General features: G+C 36.7%; 1 long non-coding RNA gene across 1 annotated transcript in view; it reads left to right on the forward strand.

Moving 5' to 3' along the window:
• The window catches only part of LOC107986836 (uncharacterized), a 57,428-nt gene extending 42,204 nt beyond the window's left edge, over positions 1-15,224 (forward strand). Inside the window, exons 3-4 of the long non-coding RNA XR_001745322.1 lie at positions 14,532-14,584; positions 15,116-15,224. This is a non-coding gene — a long non-coding RNA (uncharacterized LOC107986836). The remainder of the gene's footprint in view (positions 1-14,531; positions 14,585-15,115) is intronic.
• The last annotated feature ends 4,778 nt before the right edge of the window (positions 15,225-20,002 follow it).

A 20,002-nucleotide genomic window follows, 5' to 3' on the forward strand; every position in this document is an offset into this window, starting at 1 on the left:
TTATAAGAATAATTCTCCATATCTGGTTAATCCACATTGCATTATTATATGTTAACTATGGACATAACGTATTTTCAAATAGTTCTTTTCAACAAATACATCATGAACACCTACTTTGTATTAGGATCTCTTCTTGGAGATGGAGACACTGAAAAAGAATCAGACAATCTCTCCTCAGGCAGCTCACAGTTTGGTGGAGGAAATAAGAAAATATACATTATAGTGACAAATGTATCATAAATAGAAAAATATCTATAGAATAAAAGTATATAGAAGCAGTTGATACATTCTGAGGTCACAAATGGAGACTTTACAGAGGAAGTGATATACAAGCTGGATTCTGAAGGATGCATTGACGTGTACTAATTGGATTATGGCAGGGAAAGTAATCTAGAAAGATGTACTGGTTTGTGCATAGGCACAGAGTCGTGCTTGAGTAACTGCAAGTAGTTTACTTTTGGTGGAGCATAAGATATAAGGGAAAGAGATGTAAGAGATGAGTCTGAAGAGATAATGAAGAAGCAGATTATGAAATGTCCTTATGTTCCATGCAAAATATCTTGGATTTGTGTCCATTATGTCAGTAGTTTTTGAAGCTTTACTGGGTCAAGGACTTTTCAGAAGTAATCTATCAGAATGTTTCACATACTTATTCAAAAATTTGTTTCACAAAAAATGTTTCACATACATATTCAAAAAATTTTGCATCTCATTTCAGGGAAGTCATGGTTATGGAGCCCCTCTTTTAGACAATCCATAAACAGAATCACATGGTCAGTTTGTGTTTCAGATTAATAGCCCTTGTTGTCATCAGGTCAGCAAGTTGGACTTATGAGGAAAGGCCACGCTAGAGACAGGGAGTTGAGTTAGGAGGAACTGGCCATAGAAATGAAATGGAGAGTCACCATGATCAGATTTCAGGATTGCTTGTATAGGAAAAGGAAGGAGTTGAAGACCCTGCCCAGGTTTCTGACTAGGCTTTTTATTATACAGGAGTGTTATAAAATGGAATAGGAAGCATAAGAAGAATTCTCATGGCAAAAGCAGTGTATATAAATTTGATATGGAGTAGATGTTTTGGAAAGAGTTGTATCCATGGGTCTCTTGCTTAGGGGAGAGATCAGTGTAGCACATACAGCTGGTACCCCACTACATCTGTACCATATCCATTCTTCCTTGCTGGTGGAGCTCTGACTTTGTTCCCTCAGCCTTCTCTGTGCAGCCATGTGATCTGGGAAGGTGAGACTAGCTTCATCCTCAACAAGGGATGCTGAGAGGCTGCTCAGCTTGAATGGTCAGTTCCTGTTGTGTTGATACTGTTCTTTGATTCAATTCTGGTTAATGAGAAATAAAAGGATGTTTTTTGGGCTCTACAAGAAAAGTTCCTTAATGTTTAAGAAGAGAATGAAAGAAAAAGAAGTTCTCTTTTCTGTCTCTGGCCATTGATGTGTGAGAATGTGAAGCCTAGAGCAGGTGCAACCATCTTGAAGCCAGTTGTGTTGATACCTCACAACAGATTTAGCGGGGGTAGCCGTTGCATGGGTTACACTGGATAGATAGATAGCTGTGTCTATTTGTCTATTGTGGTGAAAAACAAATGGTAAATAACAAATTTACCATTTTAACCATGGTTAAGTGTACAGTTTCATAATATCATGTATGTTCACATTGTTGTGAAACAGACCTTTATAATTTTTTCATCTCGCAAATCTGAAACTTTACACCCATTAAACAACAACTGTTCCTTTGCCCCTCCCCCAAGCCCCTGGCAATCACTATGGGTTTTATTAATGAATAAGCTATAATTAAAACCATGAAACAGAACATAATCCTTTCCAGAAAGAACACAATACTGGGAACACGGATGTTTTAGGAGTAGGCAGTGGAAGAGTTCCACAAAAGAGATGAAGAAATATCAAAAGTGGAAGGTAGAAAGAGAACTGGTAAAACATGAGGTCATGAGATCTATTAGGGAGAAGGATTGGAGGAAGGAGTAGCCACCCTGCCAAGTGCTGCAGAAAGGTATTAAAATAAGGTGTTAAAATGTCAACACTATTGAGTAATTAGGATGTCATGGGTGATGTCACATGGTGAGAGTAGCTTCAGTGGAGTAAGAAGGTTAGAAGCTGCAGTTGAAGAGTGAATAGCAACTGAGGAAAGAGGAGGTTTCACAGCAAAGGGAAAGCTACACAATGAAATTCCCACTTTTCTAAACTGAGATAAAATTGAAACTCACCCCTTTATTTATTTATTTATTTGTTTATTTATTTATTTAGACAAGGTCTTGCTCTGTCTCCCAGGATGAAGTGCAATGGTGGGATCTCAGCTCACTGCAGCCTCTACCTCCTGGGCTCAAGTGATGCTCCCACCTCAGCCTCCTGAGTAGCTGGCACTACAAGCATGCACCACCATGCCCGGCTAATTTATGAATTTTTCCGTAGAGACGGGGTTTTACATGTTGCCCAGGCTGGTCTCACACTTCTGGACTCAAGTGATCAGCTTGCCACAGCCTCCCAAAATGCTGAGATTACAGGCTTGAGCCACTGTACCCAGCTAAACTCACCCCTTTAATACACAGCTAATATGTTGCCTGTGTTCAGTTCTATGCTGTAGAGAGTGATGCCATGGGACTGGAACAAAACAGAAGCTTGAGCTTTGGAGGCCTTGCCATCCTCCCACTGCCTAAATGAGCATGTATATGCTAGGGCAACTTTGACTGTGTCAGCTTTGGTCTAGTTTTATGAGCTCTGTGACCATATATTGTTTTATACTTACATGGGTGTCTGGGAGGAGGTATTGCTTCTTCAAAAACGTAGATTTTGCCCAGTAGAGAAAACTAATTGCAATGCTGTCCTAGTTTTAGAGCTATATACCTTGGGAGACATATTTGATCCTTTCTCTAGCATTGCTTATAGCACAGACTTGTCTGCTTTGAATTCAAAGCAACATCATTATTTTTATTTATTTATTTCCCTATATCAGTTTAGGTGGAAAATACATTAATATTAGGTAGTGACAAAGGTCACTTTTCCCTCCATAAGTTTTTTCTCTGTATCTGCAAAAATGGGCATTTCACCAAAAGATTGCAGTCTGTTTAATTATAACTCCAAGTGGCTGAGATGCCAGTTTAGTGGGCTAATGCCATTCATCCTCTGAAACTCTATAAATGGAAAGAATTTATAGCAGATTCCTGGATATCCTCAGGGCTAACTTTAAACGTGACTGGCTTGTAAACTCCCTAAGCTTGACCAAAATAAATTGTTTTTATCTTCTCTTAAGGAGATTAGTGGGTGAAGATGATCTTAAACTCCACAGAATAAACATTGTCAGATAATAAAAATATCCTCACTCCTAGGAAATCATGTAGAAAATAAAATTTGGATGTTGATGAACATCTCATTTAGTCATTTAATTTATATTCAACAAAACAAACCAAGTGTCTAATATTTGTAAAGCTCTGAGGCAAGGTTTGTCTAAAGGGGTCCTCTATAAAAAACATTAAATGTTTTGTGATGAAAAAGAATCTCTTATTTTTGGAAAGTCCCATTTGCATATGTTGGGATGTTTTAGTTTGGTATGAGAATGATATGTATAGTTTAGTGGCTCTTCTCTGCTAGAAAATATTTATCTTGGCTGGATATGGTGGCTAATGCTTGTAATCCCAGCACTTTGGGAGGCCGAGGCAGGAGGATCGCTTAGCCCAGGAGTTCAAGACCAGCCTGGGCAACATTGTGAGACCCTGTCTCTATGAAAATAATAATAAAAGAGAATATTTATCTTTTCTCCTCCTATTTCAAATTGTTGCTTCCAACATCAAATAGATACGAGTGATTCTCCTGCCCATTAACATTCAGAAGTTAAATCCAGACTAAAGTGCTATTAAGATAAGATGAAAATTTGCTGAGTTACTCAGTAAAAGTTAGTATGTGAGCAGAACCATCTTTGAAATAGTATGTGAAAAAAATCTTTTGGATAGGCAGATCGGTTCACAGAACGTTTGGTGCTTTCGATGAATGAAATAAATTTTGAAGCAACTTGAGGCAGTAAAGATCAATTAAATCCCCCAAGGATAGACACATGTTTAGATGACAAAGAAAAGTTTTTGGAGGACAAACCATCCTGGGCTTCTGAATATTTAAATAAGAATGTTTCACTGTTCTACCAACATAGTGGTGTTAAATAAAAAGGCAGTGACTGAACAAAGTTCTTTTGTGTCTATTTTGCTACTTTGCAGTCAGAGTATATGCTGGGATCCAATCTAAGGTATCTGTTTATTCATTTGCCTGATTCCCAAAATGCCTCAAATGTAAAATTGCTTGCTGGATTTAGGTCCTGTGGGTTCTTACAGATTTGAGGATTTAATTACCTACCTGTTCATTTTATTATGAAGTGGTCAGCCTGTGAAGCCAGCTCTAAGCTGATAATCACCTAGGAGGAGGAACTGCTGGTTTTTACCCTGAAGATTTTAATTATCATTGGTAGCTCAAAAATAGTGAGTATCTTTAAGGATGCAATTATAAAGAATTTTTGACAGCAGGAAAAACAGGGAATATATTTTGATGTTAGAAGTGCCCAGATAGAAGGGAGATGCTATTCACAAATGAATGCACTGATTGCAGAGAAGACTATAGTTGGATGTCCTCTTTTGTTTCTCTTTCCTCAAATTCCCAAGACAACCAATTTAGCCTTTAGAAAGGCCTTCTTTGGACTAAAGGCATTATTCTCCCTATTTTTAACACTGTCAACTTATTAAAAAAGGAAACAAAACCCCAAACAAAACAAAACCATTAAGAATTTCAAACTAAATAGGCCTATGGGTTGATTTCTGCCCGTAGGCCACCAATTTTCACTCTCTGCTCCAAATCTTCCTTACTACACGTATGCAGGGGTGATTTCTTTTTCTTCTAAGTTTGTATAACAATTATTGTCTGTGCAACTCATTTGGAAGTTAATAATAAACTGCCTGATGACACATTTCATATTATATCTTGAGTTATTTAATTTTTTGTGGCTCTGGAACTTTTCACTTGTCTTGAACTTCAAATCAATTGTTAACCCTTTAGTGCAGAAACTGTGTCTGATATTTCTTTGCATTTCCCCCAGTGCCAAACACAATGAATCCTCAACAAATTAATGTTGTTTTGTTTTATTTCATAAGGATGCATAGTATTCCAAATCTATGCTCACCTTTTCTACAAGAGTACTGAAATGACAGAAAATAAGATGTAATCAGTTTATATTCATGATGTTTATTTCTTCCTGCAAATCACTGCAGAATTTTAAAAAAGATGCAAATACTCAAAAGCAAATTCAGTAACTGACTCACAAGTGCCTCAGATGTGCTTCCCACTTCCCCCTTTCTTTCACTGAAGAGTGAGCAGGTGAAGGAAAAGAAGCAGCACCATATTAGGAACTTTACATACCCATCTTTTAATTCTCACAGGTATGTATGTAGGAATTATTTTGCCCATTTTAGAAATGGGCAACTGAGATTTATAGAGGTGATGTTCAGGGTCACATAGCTGTTGTTGGAGCTTGGGTTTCAATTTTCGTTTATTTGACTTGCAAATATGGGCTTTCTCTTAGCCAAGCAGCTTCTACTTGCATGCTCCATGAAGGCAGGTGCTTATAAATTCTCCAGATGAAGGGGCTACAGGACAAAGTCAGCAAAATGCCAAAATGGTGACTTGGCTTTATCCCTAACAGTTCTCGCCTGTCTTCATTTCTCATCTTTGCACCCCGTTGGCTTCAGTTTCTTCATGCTTCGCCTGGCTATGGGAAGCCACATAGCTTCTTCTGAGGCAGGTCTCCCCAAGCCTGAGCATCAAACCTACAATTGAATCTAAATCTTCACTTTGCTGCATTCCTATTAAGGCATTAGTTCCTTATCCCATTACTGTTGTCTGTTAAGTCAATCTTCATTTATAGATTGATGGCCATTGATGAATTAATGTTATTCTTCTAGATAACATTTAAAAGAATATTTAGAAGACAACAGGTCTTTTTAGGAATTTTGGATGTGATAGAAGGCACAATGCAGGAGTTTTTGGGTTAGGAGTTGTTCATTTCCATCTTAAGACAAAAGTTCTATGATAGATGTATCTGAAAGGAAAAATGCTTTTTCTATTAGATGCTCATTTTTTTTTATTCTTCAACAAATGAGAAATTCATTTAAGTAAGCAGATTATTTGCTAACATCATGCACGTGCAACATTGAGCACATTGTGGAGGCATTTTACTTGCCCTATTCTAAGGAAACTGTCTCTTCAATAAGTGCATAGAAGGGCTTTCACAAAGCAGTAATAAAATAACTTAATGGAAGTCAGTAGGCTGAGATGGCTCCAATGTCCTGGGTTCCTATGTAAACAAAATGAAAATTAAGTTTTGCTAATCACAGATGGCCAAAGGAGCATTAAGTTATATAATAATGAATTTTTCACTGAGATAAACCATATACAAAAACTGCTCAAATTTTAACCAATGAAATCATGCTGTTACTCTGCTTCTGCATTTATCCTATAAAAGCCTTCCCTTCAAACTCCTCCCTTGGAGCCCCAAATCACTTCCCACTTAATGCTGCCTGATTTATGAATCATCGTTTGCTCAAATAAACTCCCGTTTTCTTTATTTCACTCTTCTGAAGACACATTTGCAAAACTCCTTAAATTTTAATGTGCCTCAGTTTATCATTTAACAGTTGTATTTTTATTGATATTTCTTGTATTAATACATAATATTTGTACATATTTGGGGGTTATATGTAATATTTTGCTATATGCATACAATGTATAATGATCAAATCAGGGTGATTGAGATATCTATCACCTTAAACATTTATCTTTTCTTTATGTTAGGAACATTCCAGTTCTTCTCCTCTAACTATTTTGAACTATAGAATACATTATTGTTAAGTATAGTTACCCAGCAATACTATCAAACACTAGACCTTATTCCTTCTATTTAACTGTATTTTTGTACCCGTGAATCAACTGATCTTCATCCCCCTGCTTCTCAGCCTCTCGTAATTACCAAATAACTTTCTATCTCTGTGAGATCCATCTTTATTTTGCTCCCACATATGAGTGTGAACATGTGGTATTTGTCTGTGCCCAGCTTATTTCACATAACGAACTCTAGTTTCATCCGTGTTGCTGCAAATAACAGGATGTCATTATTTTCATTGCTGAATAATATTCCGTTGTGTATATGTACCACATTTTTTAAATTCACTCATATGTTGATTTGATGAACATTTAGGTCGATTCTATATCTTGGCTATTGTAAATCATGATGCAATAAACAGGAATGTGGAGTGTAGAGTGCACATAACTCTTCGATTTATTGATTTCTTTTGTTTTGGCTGCGTACCCAACAGGGGGTTGCTGGATCATATGGTAGTTCTATTTTTAGTTTTTTGAGGAAACTCCATACTGTTTTCCATAGTGGCTGTACTAATTTACATTCCCACCAACAGGGTACAAGCATTTCTCTTTCTCCACATCCTTGCCAGTATTTGTTATTTTTCGTCTTCTGAGTAAAAGCCATTTTAACTTGGGTGAGACAATACCTCATTATGGTTTTGATTTGCATTTCTCTGATGATTAGTGATGCTGAGCATTTTTTCATATATTTGTTGGTCATTTGTATGTCTTTGATAAATGTTTATTCAGATATTTTGCCCATTTTTAATTGGAATTTTTTGTTCTGTTATTAGTTGTTTGAGTTCCTTATATATTTTGATTATTGATCCCCTGTTGAATGGATAGTTTACAACTATTTTCTCCCATTTTATGTGGGTCATCTCTCACCTTTGTTGATTGTTTCCTCTTTTGTGCAAAAGCTTTTTAGCTTGTTGTAATGCTATTTGTTTACTTTTACTTTTGCCTTCTGTGCTTCTGAGGTCTTACCCAAGAAGTCTTTGCCCAGACCAATGTCCTGAAATGTTTCTCCAGTGTTTTCTTCTAGTAGTTTTATAGGTGCAAGTCTTATATTTAAGTCATTAAATGTATTTTGATTTGATTTTTCTGTATGGTGAGAGATAGGGGCCTAGCTTCATTCTTCTAAATATGGTTATCCAGCTTTTTCAAATCCATGTATCGAAAAGGATGCCCTTTACCCCATGTATGTTCTTGGCACATTTGTGGAAAAATGAGATGACTGTAACTGCATGGATTTATTTCTGGGTTCTCTATTCTGTTTCATTAGTCTATATGTTTTTTTAAATGCCAGCACCATGCAGTTTTGGTTACTATGGCTTTGTAGTATATTTTGAAGTTATATAGTACAATGCTTCCACCTTTATTCTTTATTCTTTTTTCCCAGGATTGCTTTGGCTATTTGGGGTCTTACGTGGTTCCATAGGAGTTTAGGGATTATTTGTTTTTCAGTTTGTTCACTATTGGTGTATGGAAACACTACTAATTTTTGTATATTGAGTTTGTGTCCTGCAACTTCACTGAATTCATTGATCAGTTCTAACAGTTTTTTGGCGTAGTATTTAGGTTTTCTAAATGTAATATATCATGTGTGAACAAGAATAATATGGCTTCTTCCATTCAGTCTGAATGCCCTTTGTTTTTCTTGCCTGATTGCTCTGGCTAGTACATCCAGTACAATGTTGAATAAAAATGGTAAAGTGGGCATCCTTGTTTCAGATCTTAGTAGAAAGGCCTTCAATTTTTCTCCATTCAGTATGATGTTAGCTCTGGGCTTGTCAAAAATGGCTTTTATTGTTTTGAGGTATGTTCCTTCTATGCCCAGTGGTATGGTTAGGCTTTGCCCACCCAAATCTCATCTTGAATTGTAATCCTCCTAATCCCCATGTGTCAAGGAAGAGACCAGGTGGAAATAATTGAATTACGGGGGTGGTTTCCCCCATGCTGCTCTGTGATAGTGAGTGAGTTCTCATAAGATCAGATGGTTTTATCAGGGGCTCTTCCCCCTTCACTTGGCACTTCTCCTTTCTGCCTCCTTGTGAAGAAGGCACCTTGCTTCCCCTTCACCTTCCACCATGATTTTAAGTTTCTGAGGTCTCCTCAGCCATGCTAAACTGTGAGTCAATTAAACCTCTTTCCTTTATAAATTACCCAGTCTCAGGCAGTTCTTTATAGCAGTATGAAAACAAACTAATACACCCAGTTTGTTGAGAGTTTTTATCATAAATGGATGTTGAATTTTATCAATGCTTTTTCAGCATCTATTAAAATGATCATATGGTCATATGGTCTTTGTCCTTGATTCTTAGAAGCAGTGTTTTTGAAAGTGTTTTTCTATATCAGAATTAGAGGTAGTTAAAAATGCTGGTTCCCATGCCCAATGAACCAGACTGTCTATTTTAAGAAAATGTTCATTTAGATTGGTGAAGTTGTCTTGATAAGTTTTTCATAATCAAAATTCACTTCCTGGAAAATACATTATTTTTGGTTAATTCTGCCGCTCACAATTGCCAAATATATTTGAAGACAAAAATGCTTCATACAAAAAAAGTCCCTGGATCACCAAAGTCAAAGATAACCTACACAATTTTCTTTAGCACATTAAACAGAGGTAGAGTATACTATATTCTTTATGCTGGGTAAAACTGTCACAAATATGCTTCCTTTACATTTTAGTATTTCCCAGACAGTAACTGGGATTTCGTATAGAAGATGAAAATGTGCTGAGCTCCTAACTGCCAAACCAGTCAATTGTGCAATCACTTAAAAACCCCATTTAATATATTCTGTCTTATATCCTAAAGCTTTTTTTCTTCCCCTTTTATGTTCTTTCTCTTTTTTTTTTTTTTTTTTGAAATGGAGTCTCACTCTGTCACCCAGGCAGGAGTGCAGTGGCAAGATCTCGGCTCACTGCAACCTCTGTCTCCCAGGCTCAAGTGATTCTCCTGCCTCAGCCTCCCAAGTAGCTGGGATTACAGGTGTGTGCCAGCACCCCCGCTAAATTTTGTATTTTTAGTAGAGATGAGGTTTCACCGTGTTGGCCAGGCTGGTCTCAAACTCCTGACTTCAGATGATCTGCCTGACTTGGCCTCCCAAACTGCTGGGATTACAGGTGTGAGCCACCACAGCCGGCCTCTTTTGCTTTGTTCTTATTTTTAAATTCCATGGAAGGCAATCCTTTTAGGAAAAGCAATTGTATCTGAAATAACTTTTTGGAAACAAAAAATTTAAAAACAAGAAACAAAAAACCTTTTGAGTAAATTCCCTGATAAGGATAGCATAGTGGTTTTGCTTCATTCTCCTTAAGTTGGAGAGTGATTGGTCCATGAGTCAGGAAGAGTTAGATCCTGGCTTTCTGGTTAACAGACTTTGCAGTCTTGCTGATGTAGCTGCCTCTTGCCATGCTCCAAGTTTTCCATCTGTAAAATGAGGAGACTGGAATGATTAATTTCTGATGTCCCTTCCAGCTGTATAGTTAGGAAAGGAGCAGGAGTAGTCTTTGCAAATGTTTTCCTTGTTAGAACATGTTAATATTGTCAGGAATCTTTTCCACTTTCACTGTGAAATAATATCTATGTTTCTCTTAAAAGAAGACTCAGAAACAAAACATAAAATGGATCATTTGCATTTAAACTACTTAAGTATAACGGAAATTACTCACTTATTTAACTGAATCAGTATTTTCACTTGAAATCTAGTGTGTCTTCATGCATTTCTTAAGTTAATCACTTCAGGAAAATGGCTCTGGAGGTGGGTAGGCCAAAGTTAGTAAAAGAAAGTAATTAAAAAAAAATCCAACAATGCTTTTAATGTGTCAGTACTTGAATGAGTATTTCCTTAGGAAATGAGTTTGGTCAGCATTTCAGAGTAAATCAACTAGAAATTAAAAATTGGCATGTGCTTTTTTTTGTTTGGTTTTGTTTTTAAATTAAACTGATCTCTTCTTGCCCCTTGTTCTATTCTCTAGAAGAGTGGCCTCAATATTTTTGAGTATGCACATCTATCAGCACAAAAAAAACCCCCTCTCTCTCTCTCTTTCTGTCTCTCTCTCTCTCTCTATATATATATATATGTATATATATGTACATGACCATCTCTAGTTAGTATCTCAAGAAACAATATGCAATTAGGAAGAACTTCATTATTACAGAAAGTAGATGGAAGTGTTTGAATAATTTCAGATTTTCAGGGGGCTGACACAGGGCCACATATGATTAGATCGTTGTTATTTTTATTTACAACATGGCAAAGAACTCAAACTAAAAATAGAAATGTTTACTCTGTCATTTTTTTTCTTGACCTTGCATTGTTAGTTTTATCTTCAATCTGGCTTTCTTTGCAGAGATTGTTGTAAAGCCCTCTGACAACTTCGAGAAGATTTAGTTTAGTATAAAAATAATCTGTAAATCTATTTAATTAGCCATACACAATCTTTAACTGAATGCAACATGTTGAAAGCTAAGGAACCAGCCAACAGGGTGGGCTGGGGAAGAATTGACCTTTTCTCAATATCCTGTACATGGCATATGTGACACGTGACTCTTTGACATATAGACTGAAGGTGAGAACCAAGTTTCTCTCAACAGAAAATATTAGTAAAGCTTAATTTCCCATTTTATTTCTGGAATAAAATAAATGGAAGTTCAATGTTTTCTTCCCAAATCCCACTTCAAAAATTACTGCTCTGACAGTATAATAACAGGGACAAGCTCCCTATTGCAAATGAGAAATGCCTTTTTGGAGCCATGACTAGTAGCAACTACATAAGAAGTATAAAAGATATGAAATATGTTTTCCCTTCCCTCTTTCATTCTTCCAATAGTTAAGCATGTGCCTTTTTAGCAATAATTAAGTTGATTTTAATTCAGGTGGGAAGAGCAGAAAGGAAGAGTCTGTCTGTCATTACTATCTTTCTCTAAAAATAAGCCACTTTATGAGTTTATGTTTATGACTTTCCCTTCCTGTGTGGTTTGTGGCTTTCTTAACCAGGAATTCTTATCTGCTGAGATAGAAACACTATGATAACTGTCCTTGGTTAGGGCTGTAACACAAAAAGTTAGTTCAAGTGCAAATTGTCTATTTTCTTATAGGGACTATATTCCTTTGCACAGAAGGAAAAATAGAATACCATTGAAATAGAATATGTTACAAGGCTTTTAAATCACGATTAATATAGCTGCCCAACTGCATGTTTTGACAGTTGGAAGCCATTCATATTTTCCTTCTGTCTTTTCTGAGTCTCTGTTATTCTCTGGGGCATGTTGTGAGATATATAAAGCTAAGCTCTGCACACTGATGGTGGTTTTGCCCTGAATAAACATGTATAGTCAGCCCACATGTTTTCTTGTGTAGATTGTCTTAGTAATCTCGTGGCTGCTTTTTAGTGCAGTACTTAACTTTCTCTACTGTGAAACGTTCTGTCTTCAAATGCGTTTGGCACTTGCTAGTAGGAGAGTTAACTGAAAATAGTGCATTTTTTTCCAGGCAGTGATTTGCTTTGATCATGAAAGAACATTTCCTGGGATTACTCTGAGATAGCATGAAAAGAAAAATGATTATCACAAATACAGTTTTGATGTCCACCTTTAGATACACGTTTCACAAATGACTACTGTATACTTAAAACATGTTCAAGATACATAAACTCAGCAGAGAAGTTTATCTTATTTTTAGAACCTGAAAATCTCTGGAGCTAAATAATATAAAGGAGAAGTGAAAAGGCTTGACATTTCATAACCATTCCACGTTAAAAATGAATGTGTACAACCTACTATCCAGTACTGTCATTTTCAGAGAGGGAATAGAGGAAAGCTTGCCAGGATAAAACATAATGGCATGCTATCTGCCAGAAAGCCACGAAGAGAAGTTATAAACCCCATGCTTCTAATTAGAATCACTTATTTAAAATTGATATTTTTTCATTTAAACTATATAAGCAATACGTTCTTCTTGTAAAAAAAAATTAAAAAGTAATGTTTCCCTACCCTTCCCACAGACCATCTGCTTCCCAAATCCTGCTTCCCAGCTCTCCGGAAGGAGCCATTATTAACTATTATTAAGAGTTTCTTACACATGCTTCCATGCATTTTTGATGCATATTAAAGGGCATGTGAGAAAATATATATACACACACACACACACACACACATCATTGGACAGTGAGCTAAGGTTCCTAGAAGGGGGAGTTCTGAGTGAATCAACACAAAAAAATGTGGGCGTCATCCATATGGAGGTACATTGATTCATAGGTCATACATAAGCAATTGATTTTCTATGCTCATTTAATCTCCCAGAGTCACGTCATGCCTCTGGCTAAGGTTTCCTCCAGCTTTCCAATGATTTCAGGCAATTGTTGCCCAATCCTGCCAGATTGTAGTGACACTTCCATTAGTTCCATTGCATTAGTTCTGTGCACTTCTGTTAGATCCATGCACTTCCATTAGTTCTCAGTTATTGGATGAGGCCTTTCTTGATTACTTTTACCATTGATTCAAAAACTCTCTCACTCTCTCTCTGTTTTTTAGAGACAGGGTCTTGCTTTGTTACCCAGGCTAGAGGGCAGTGGTGTGATCATAACTCACTGCCTCGAACTCCTGGGCTCAAGAGATCCTCCTGTTTCAGCCTCTAGTAGCTAGGACTACAGGGGCCAGCCACTGCTCCTGGAGGTGTATATATATATGTGTGTGTATATATATATAAAACATATATATATATATAAAACATATATATATATATATATGTAGAATTTTTTTTGTAGATTCATGGTTTCTCCATCTTTCCCAGGCTGGTTTTGAACTCCTAGGCTCAAGTGATCTTCCTGCCTCAGGCTCCCAAAATACTGGAATTACAAGCATGAGCCACCATGCCCAGCCTCAAAAACTCTTTGAACATACCAGACTTGCGTTTTAAGCAACAATGAGACAGTTTTTATGTGGGGGGAGGGCAGGTCTAGTGCTGTTACTAACAAACCTTCAACAATTGTTATGGATTTAATTTGTTGGCTAGTATGTAAATAGCAGAAAGAAAGATCATCATAGAGCAAAAATGGAAGATACAATGGCTGTATTTATAGCTGTAGACTCATTGACTCTATTTGTACTATGTAGTCTCAGTGGTTGGAAGTGGAAAGTATAGTCTGCTAAGAAGAGACTGTCTTTGGTTGAGAGCACACAAAATGCTCAGATCGTGGGAAAAAATATATGTATTCCAGTTATCTATTGTATAACAATCAGCACAAATGATAATGGCATTGAACAACCAGTTTCCACTTCCCACAATGTCTGGGGTCAGGAACGTGGCCAGTGGCTTGCCTCTGCTCTACAAGGAAAGACTGGGAGGCTGGGGCTCATATCAACAAGAGGCACATTAGCTCACATGTCTGATAGTTGATGCTGGTTGTTGGCTGGGCCTCAGCTGAGGCTGTAAACCAGAGCACCTATAAAGGGCCTCTTCATGTTGCCTAGGCTTCCTCAGAGCAAAGCTGGGTTCAGGAGCTAGTACACCAAGAGGCAGAACATGGAAACTGCCAGTTTCTTGTGGCCTGGGCCTGGAAACTAATCTAGTGTCACTATTTTCCCTCTTCTATTGATGAAGCAGTAACAGAGCCCAGATCCAAGAAGGGGGACAGAAACTCCATTTCTCTATGGGAGGTAGGTAAAGAAACAAAAAACCAAAACACTATGGGACCATTTCTTTTTAAATTTTCATAATTATGAACATTGTACTCAAATGAATTGTTTATATATTTTCTCCCACATTAGACCAAAAAAAATCTCTAAAGAGTATTATGTTGAGCCACTCTACCTACAAGTAGTGTAGAAGCAAGTTTCTCTTCTAACCCCATACTTGGTATTATATTACATTTTGTTGTTTTACAATTTCCTTTTATTACACACAGCTTGAAATACCAATACTTATCTTTAATGTAAATTTTCTTCCCTTTTTATTGCCTGTATAGCATTCTTAATGTAAATTTTTCTTCCCTTTTTATTGCCTGTATAGCATTCTATTGTATAAATATACGGACTTATTTAATTAGTCTCTAGTTTGAATTTTAATTATTTTATACTTAAATGACACTTATCAGATAATAGGCACTGTTCTAAGCACTTTATAAATATCAATTCATTGGCTTTTCATAAAAACCTAATGACATAGAGTCTTATTATCCCGTTTTACAGATAATGAAACATAGAAACAGAGAGGTTAAGTATCTTGCCTAAAGTCAAACAGCAACAAATAGTGGAGCCCTCAGAGTTTACTCTTTTGACCATCATGCTGTGCTGTCGGTTAGCAGGTATTGATTTTTTCCCCTGTTTTTTACTGGTATAAGCCATGTTATAGTGGACAACCTTACACACACTGTGAGCACTTTTCTTGGCAAAGGTAGATTTCTTGTGAAAGTATTAAAGCTAAGCCTTCAGAACCCCTCACTTGCACAGGATCTCTGAACACTGAGAATTGCAGAATATTTTTGGTGGAGGATACCGGGATTCAACCAGAAAGCACATTGAAATAAGCAATTCTGGTAAATTTTCCCAATAGATCTTAAGACAAAAGAAAGGACCTGATTTCCAAAACTCTTCTAATTTGTTTTATTTTCCCATTAAACATATTCACTTTTTTTCCCTTAAACAACAGAAATTTAATTTTCACGTTTTTGGAGACTGGAAAATCCAAGATTAAGGTGCTGGCAAGGTCATTTTCTTCTGAGGACTATTCTCTCCTTTTTATTTTATTTTATTTTTAAAAATTTTTATGGGTACCTAGCAGGTATGTATATTTATGGGGTACATGTGATATTTTGATACAGGCATACAATGTGTAATAATCATATCAGGGTAAATGGGGTGTCCATCACCTCAAGCATTTATCATTTCTTTGTGTTACAAACATTCCAATTATACTCATTTAATTATTTTAAAATGTAAAACAAATTATTGTTGACTGTAATCACCCTTTTGTGCTATCAGATACTATATGTTATTCATTCTGTCTACCTATGTTTTTCTACCCATTAACCATCCTCATTGCCCCCTTCCTACTCCACTGCCCTTTCCCAGTCTCTGGTAGCCATCATTCTACTCTCTATCTTCATGAGTTCAGTTGTTTTAAATTTTAGCTCCCACAAATGAGTGAGAACATGTGAAGTTTGTCTTTCTGTGCCTGGCTTATTTCACTTAACATAATGTCCTGAGGCCTCTCCTCTCGGCTTGCAGGCAGCTACCGTCTCTCTGTGTGCTCACGCGACCTCCTCTATGTGTACATGTGGATGGACAGTGAGTGAGCTCTCTGATGGTCCCATCTCTTGCCCTTTTTTTTTTCCCAACTGGACTCTTTAAAATTATGATAAAATTCACCATACTAACCATTTTTAAGTGTATAATTTATTTAATACAGTGAAATGAGCTTAGCTAAATACAATTCACATTGCTATATTAAAGAGGACCTCCAAAATTACGTAAGTTTCTGGCCTCACAAAGCCTAGATCTGCCTTTGTTTCTAGGACAAATTCCTATGAATGAAGTTGCTAAGTCAAAGGTCTGCTTATTTTAAATATTGATAATGATAATAATAGCTAACACTAATGTAGAGCTTTCTTTGTGTGAGACGCAATTCTAATTACTTTGAAAACACTAATTTATTTCTTACCATACATTATAAGTAGATATTATTATCCACACTTTCAGTTGAATAAACAGAGGCACAGAATTGTTATAATTTATAAAAACAAGTATTTCCACATCATATTCTTAAATGGTTTCACCAATTCTGAGTGTAAATGAAAAGTGACTGCACGTTATAGAATATTTTAATTTTTAAATGTATTTGATAGTCAAAGCATTTTAATTTACATCTCATGCTATGAGCGACATTGAGCATCCTTTCCTATGTTCATTGGCTAACTATACTGCTTTTTCTGTAAATTGTAACTGATCTTTTAACTCTCTATTTTAAAAAAATTCCTAGATGCTTTGAGAAATGAGGTACACGTAAGGTCAGATGGACTCCAGCTATATGAGACAGGCCACTGGATTGATTCTACATTGATTTCAGGGAATGGCAGCTGATGCAGAGATGATGTGTGAAGATGTAATGGCAATGTTCAAGAGTTGTGGCAAATGAAAACATTGTATTAGGCATCTTGTTTGGTATCATCTAGACTCAATCCAAGCGGATAATCCTTATAAAAGAAGAACAGGTATAAAACACTGCGAACTCTGGAATAACATGGGAGTCACTAGCATGTGAATTATGTGAATTGCAATTTTTTTACATTAGGTCCTTTTGTATTTTCTTTTTTGAGACAGGGTCTCACTCTGTCATCCGGGCTGCAGTCCAGTGATGCAATCACTACTCACTGTAGCTTCAACCTCTCGGGCTCAGGTGGTCTTTCCATCTCAGCCTTCTGAGTAGCTGGGACTACAAGCATGTGCCACCATGCCTGGCTAATTTTTTTATTTTTTATAGAGACAAGGTCTCTCTATGTTGTCCAGGCTAGTCTTGATCTCCTGAACTCAAGTGATTCCTCCACCTTGCCTCCCAAAGAAAGTGCTTGGATTACAGGCATGAGCCACTGCACCCAGCCCATTAGGCACTTTTAAGATCCAAATTCCAAAATGTTTTGCTCATTATGAGAAGTAAAAGAATAAACAAGAACCATGAGACTTGATCAGGAGAGGCCACAGGATGGGTCCAGAGGGTTTAGTATGGAAATTTTCTATATAGCCAAAGTGGCCATCAAGAAAATATGACTGCTAAAATCACTAATAATAAAGTCAGAGTCTTCTGGAGAAGAACCCTAGAAGTGGAAGTGCCTAGTGAGAACAATGTCCTTCATTGATAAAGTCAGTGATGACCCTTAGGGGACATACCCATTACCCTAGGGGACCAAAGAAATCTTGGTCTTAAAGAGAGAACCCTGGCCAGGCGTGGTGGCTCTTTCCTGTAATCCCAGCATTTTGGGAGACTGAGGTGGGTGGATCACCTGAGGTCAGGAGTTCAAGACCAGCCTGGCCAACATGGTGAAACCCTGTTTTTACTAAAAATACAAAAATTAGCCAGGCGTGGTGACACTTGCCTTAATCCCAGCTACTCAGGAGGCTGAGGCAGGGGAATCACTTGAACCCAGAGGCAGAGGTTGCAGTGAGCCAAGATCACGCCACTGCACTCCAGCCTGGGTGACTGAGAAGGACTCTGTCTAAATAAAAAGAACCCTAAGTAGAGTAATAGGTTAGTATAGCCTGTGCAGTTAGTACACCCAGTTGCAGTGGTGTGCACCTGTAGTCCCAGCTACTTGTGAGGCTGAGGCAGGAGGATCACTTGAGCTCAGGAGTTTAAGATTGCAGTATACTATGACCACACCTGTGAATAGTCACCTCACTCTAGCCTGGTCAATATAGTGAAATCTGTTCTCAAAAAAAAAAAAAAAAAATTCCTAATCAGACACCACAGGCATTTCCAAGCCCCTTGTGCAATTCAGTGCAGTTTGTATAATTATAAAGAGACAACTATGGAAACAATATGAAAAGTAGTGATAGCAGAATACCAGAAACAGTAGCAACAGCAACAATTAAGGCAGACGGTCTTGTAGATTACAAATTGGAATTAAGTGAATTTAAATAGAAACCTACAGCTAGCACAATGCTGGAGAGTGTTGCTTCAAATACTTTTCTTTTGGAACAAGGAAGGCTATAATTTATTAATTAAACATAAATAGACAAATACTACTGAAGTCTGCACTGTAAGCTAAAGGAAATAAAAAGAAGGGCTTTGGTTCTCAAAAGTAGATAATGTCAAAGATACTTTGCTTTAAGACAGAACCTCTATTTTACCTGTGATTAGAAGAAAGTGAATAGAAATGTGACACAAAATGAGAATATATCCTGTCTTTCATAATCCATGATGGATCTAGCAAAATTGGCTTTGGTTCATCCATATTTTTATATTAGTTCATAATTAGTTTCTTTATGTGCAAACTTCCATGCTAAAAAATTATTCAGGAAAAGAAGTAAAAACAGCTGGATTATATAGACCTCCTAAAATTTTCATTTTTATTCCTTTCATGTGTTGTGGGAAGTAATATAATTGTCTTCTAGGCCCTAAGTCACAAAAGTAGCAGTTATAAAACTGACCTTTGTAAAGATACTGCCTTTCAGATGTGAATATTGCTTTACATGGGTATTGTAAAGGATTCTGGAAGCCTGCTAACAATGCATCATCTGCTATGTCTGTGGCCTGAAAATTAGTGTTAGGATTAAAAGTAGTCAACGTGTCAATTTTCTGGGCTAGCCTATGCTTGTTGCCAAAGAGGTAAGTAAAATACATAAAATGGAAGGAACAAATTTTTAAAATTATCAGCTTAAATTTTTTACCATTAAAACTATTTCCCAATGTAAAATACTGTGCTCTTCCACAATATCACTGAAGAATATTAATATTCTCTCCCTAATATCTTACTAGTGGCCTCCTTAACTCTTTAATCATTTATGCAACATATCCCTACACTACATTTTCCTGAAGCAATTCTGTATTTCCCCCAAAAGTAGCTATTTATATATCTCTAATACAATTGTGGATTTTATAGAATTAACAGGTAAGTGTGATAAATCTGTTTGGACCTTACATCACTTACTATAATTTGACCCATGAAAACTATCTCCACATTTTATTTATTTTTTATTCCTGGGAAGAGTCTATCCCAATATGGTAAACAGACAATTCTTTCAGCTTTATTAATATGTATGGCCTTCTCTGGGTAGGTTTAGTTTTCTCAAATTTATGGTGGTAGTTGGCATTGAGAATGGAATAAACAGGTCTGCTTAGCTCTCCAGAAAATAAAATAAAGTGTAATTTCATCAACTCTCTTTTTCGTTGTCAGCTCTAAATGCAACTCTCATGTTACAAGGTTAGTGTAAGGCTGACATTAAATCATTATCTAGGGCCATAGCTGAAATATGTTGAATTATGTATTTAAATGTGCTCACACATTATCTCCATATAGAATAAAACAAAGTAATCAGATTTGCATTTTATTTCTATGCCAGAACCTACAGTATTATTTTGCA

The sequence above is a fragment of the Homo sapiens genome, chromosome 7 (genome assembly GCF_000001405.40).
Source record: "Homo sapiens chromosome 7, GRCh38.p14 Primary Assembly".
Classification (NCBI taxonomy): Eukaryota; Metazoa; Chordata; class Mammalia; order Primates; family Hominidae; genus Homo; species Homo sapiens.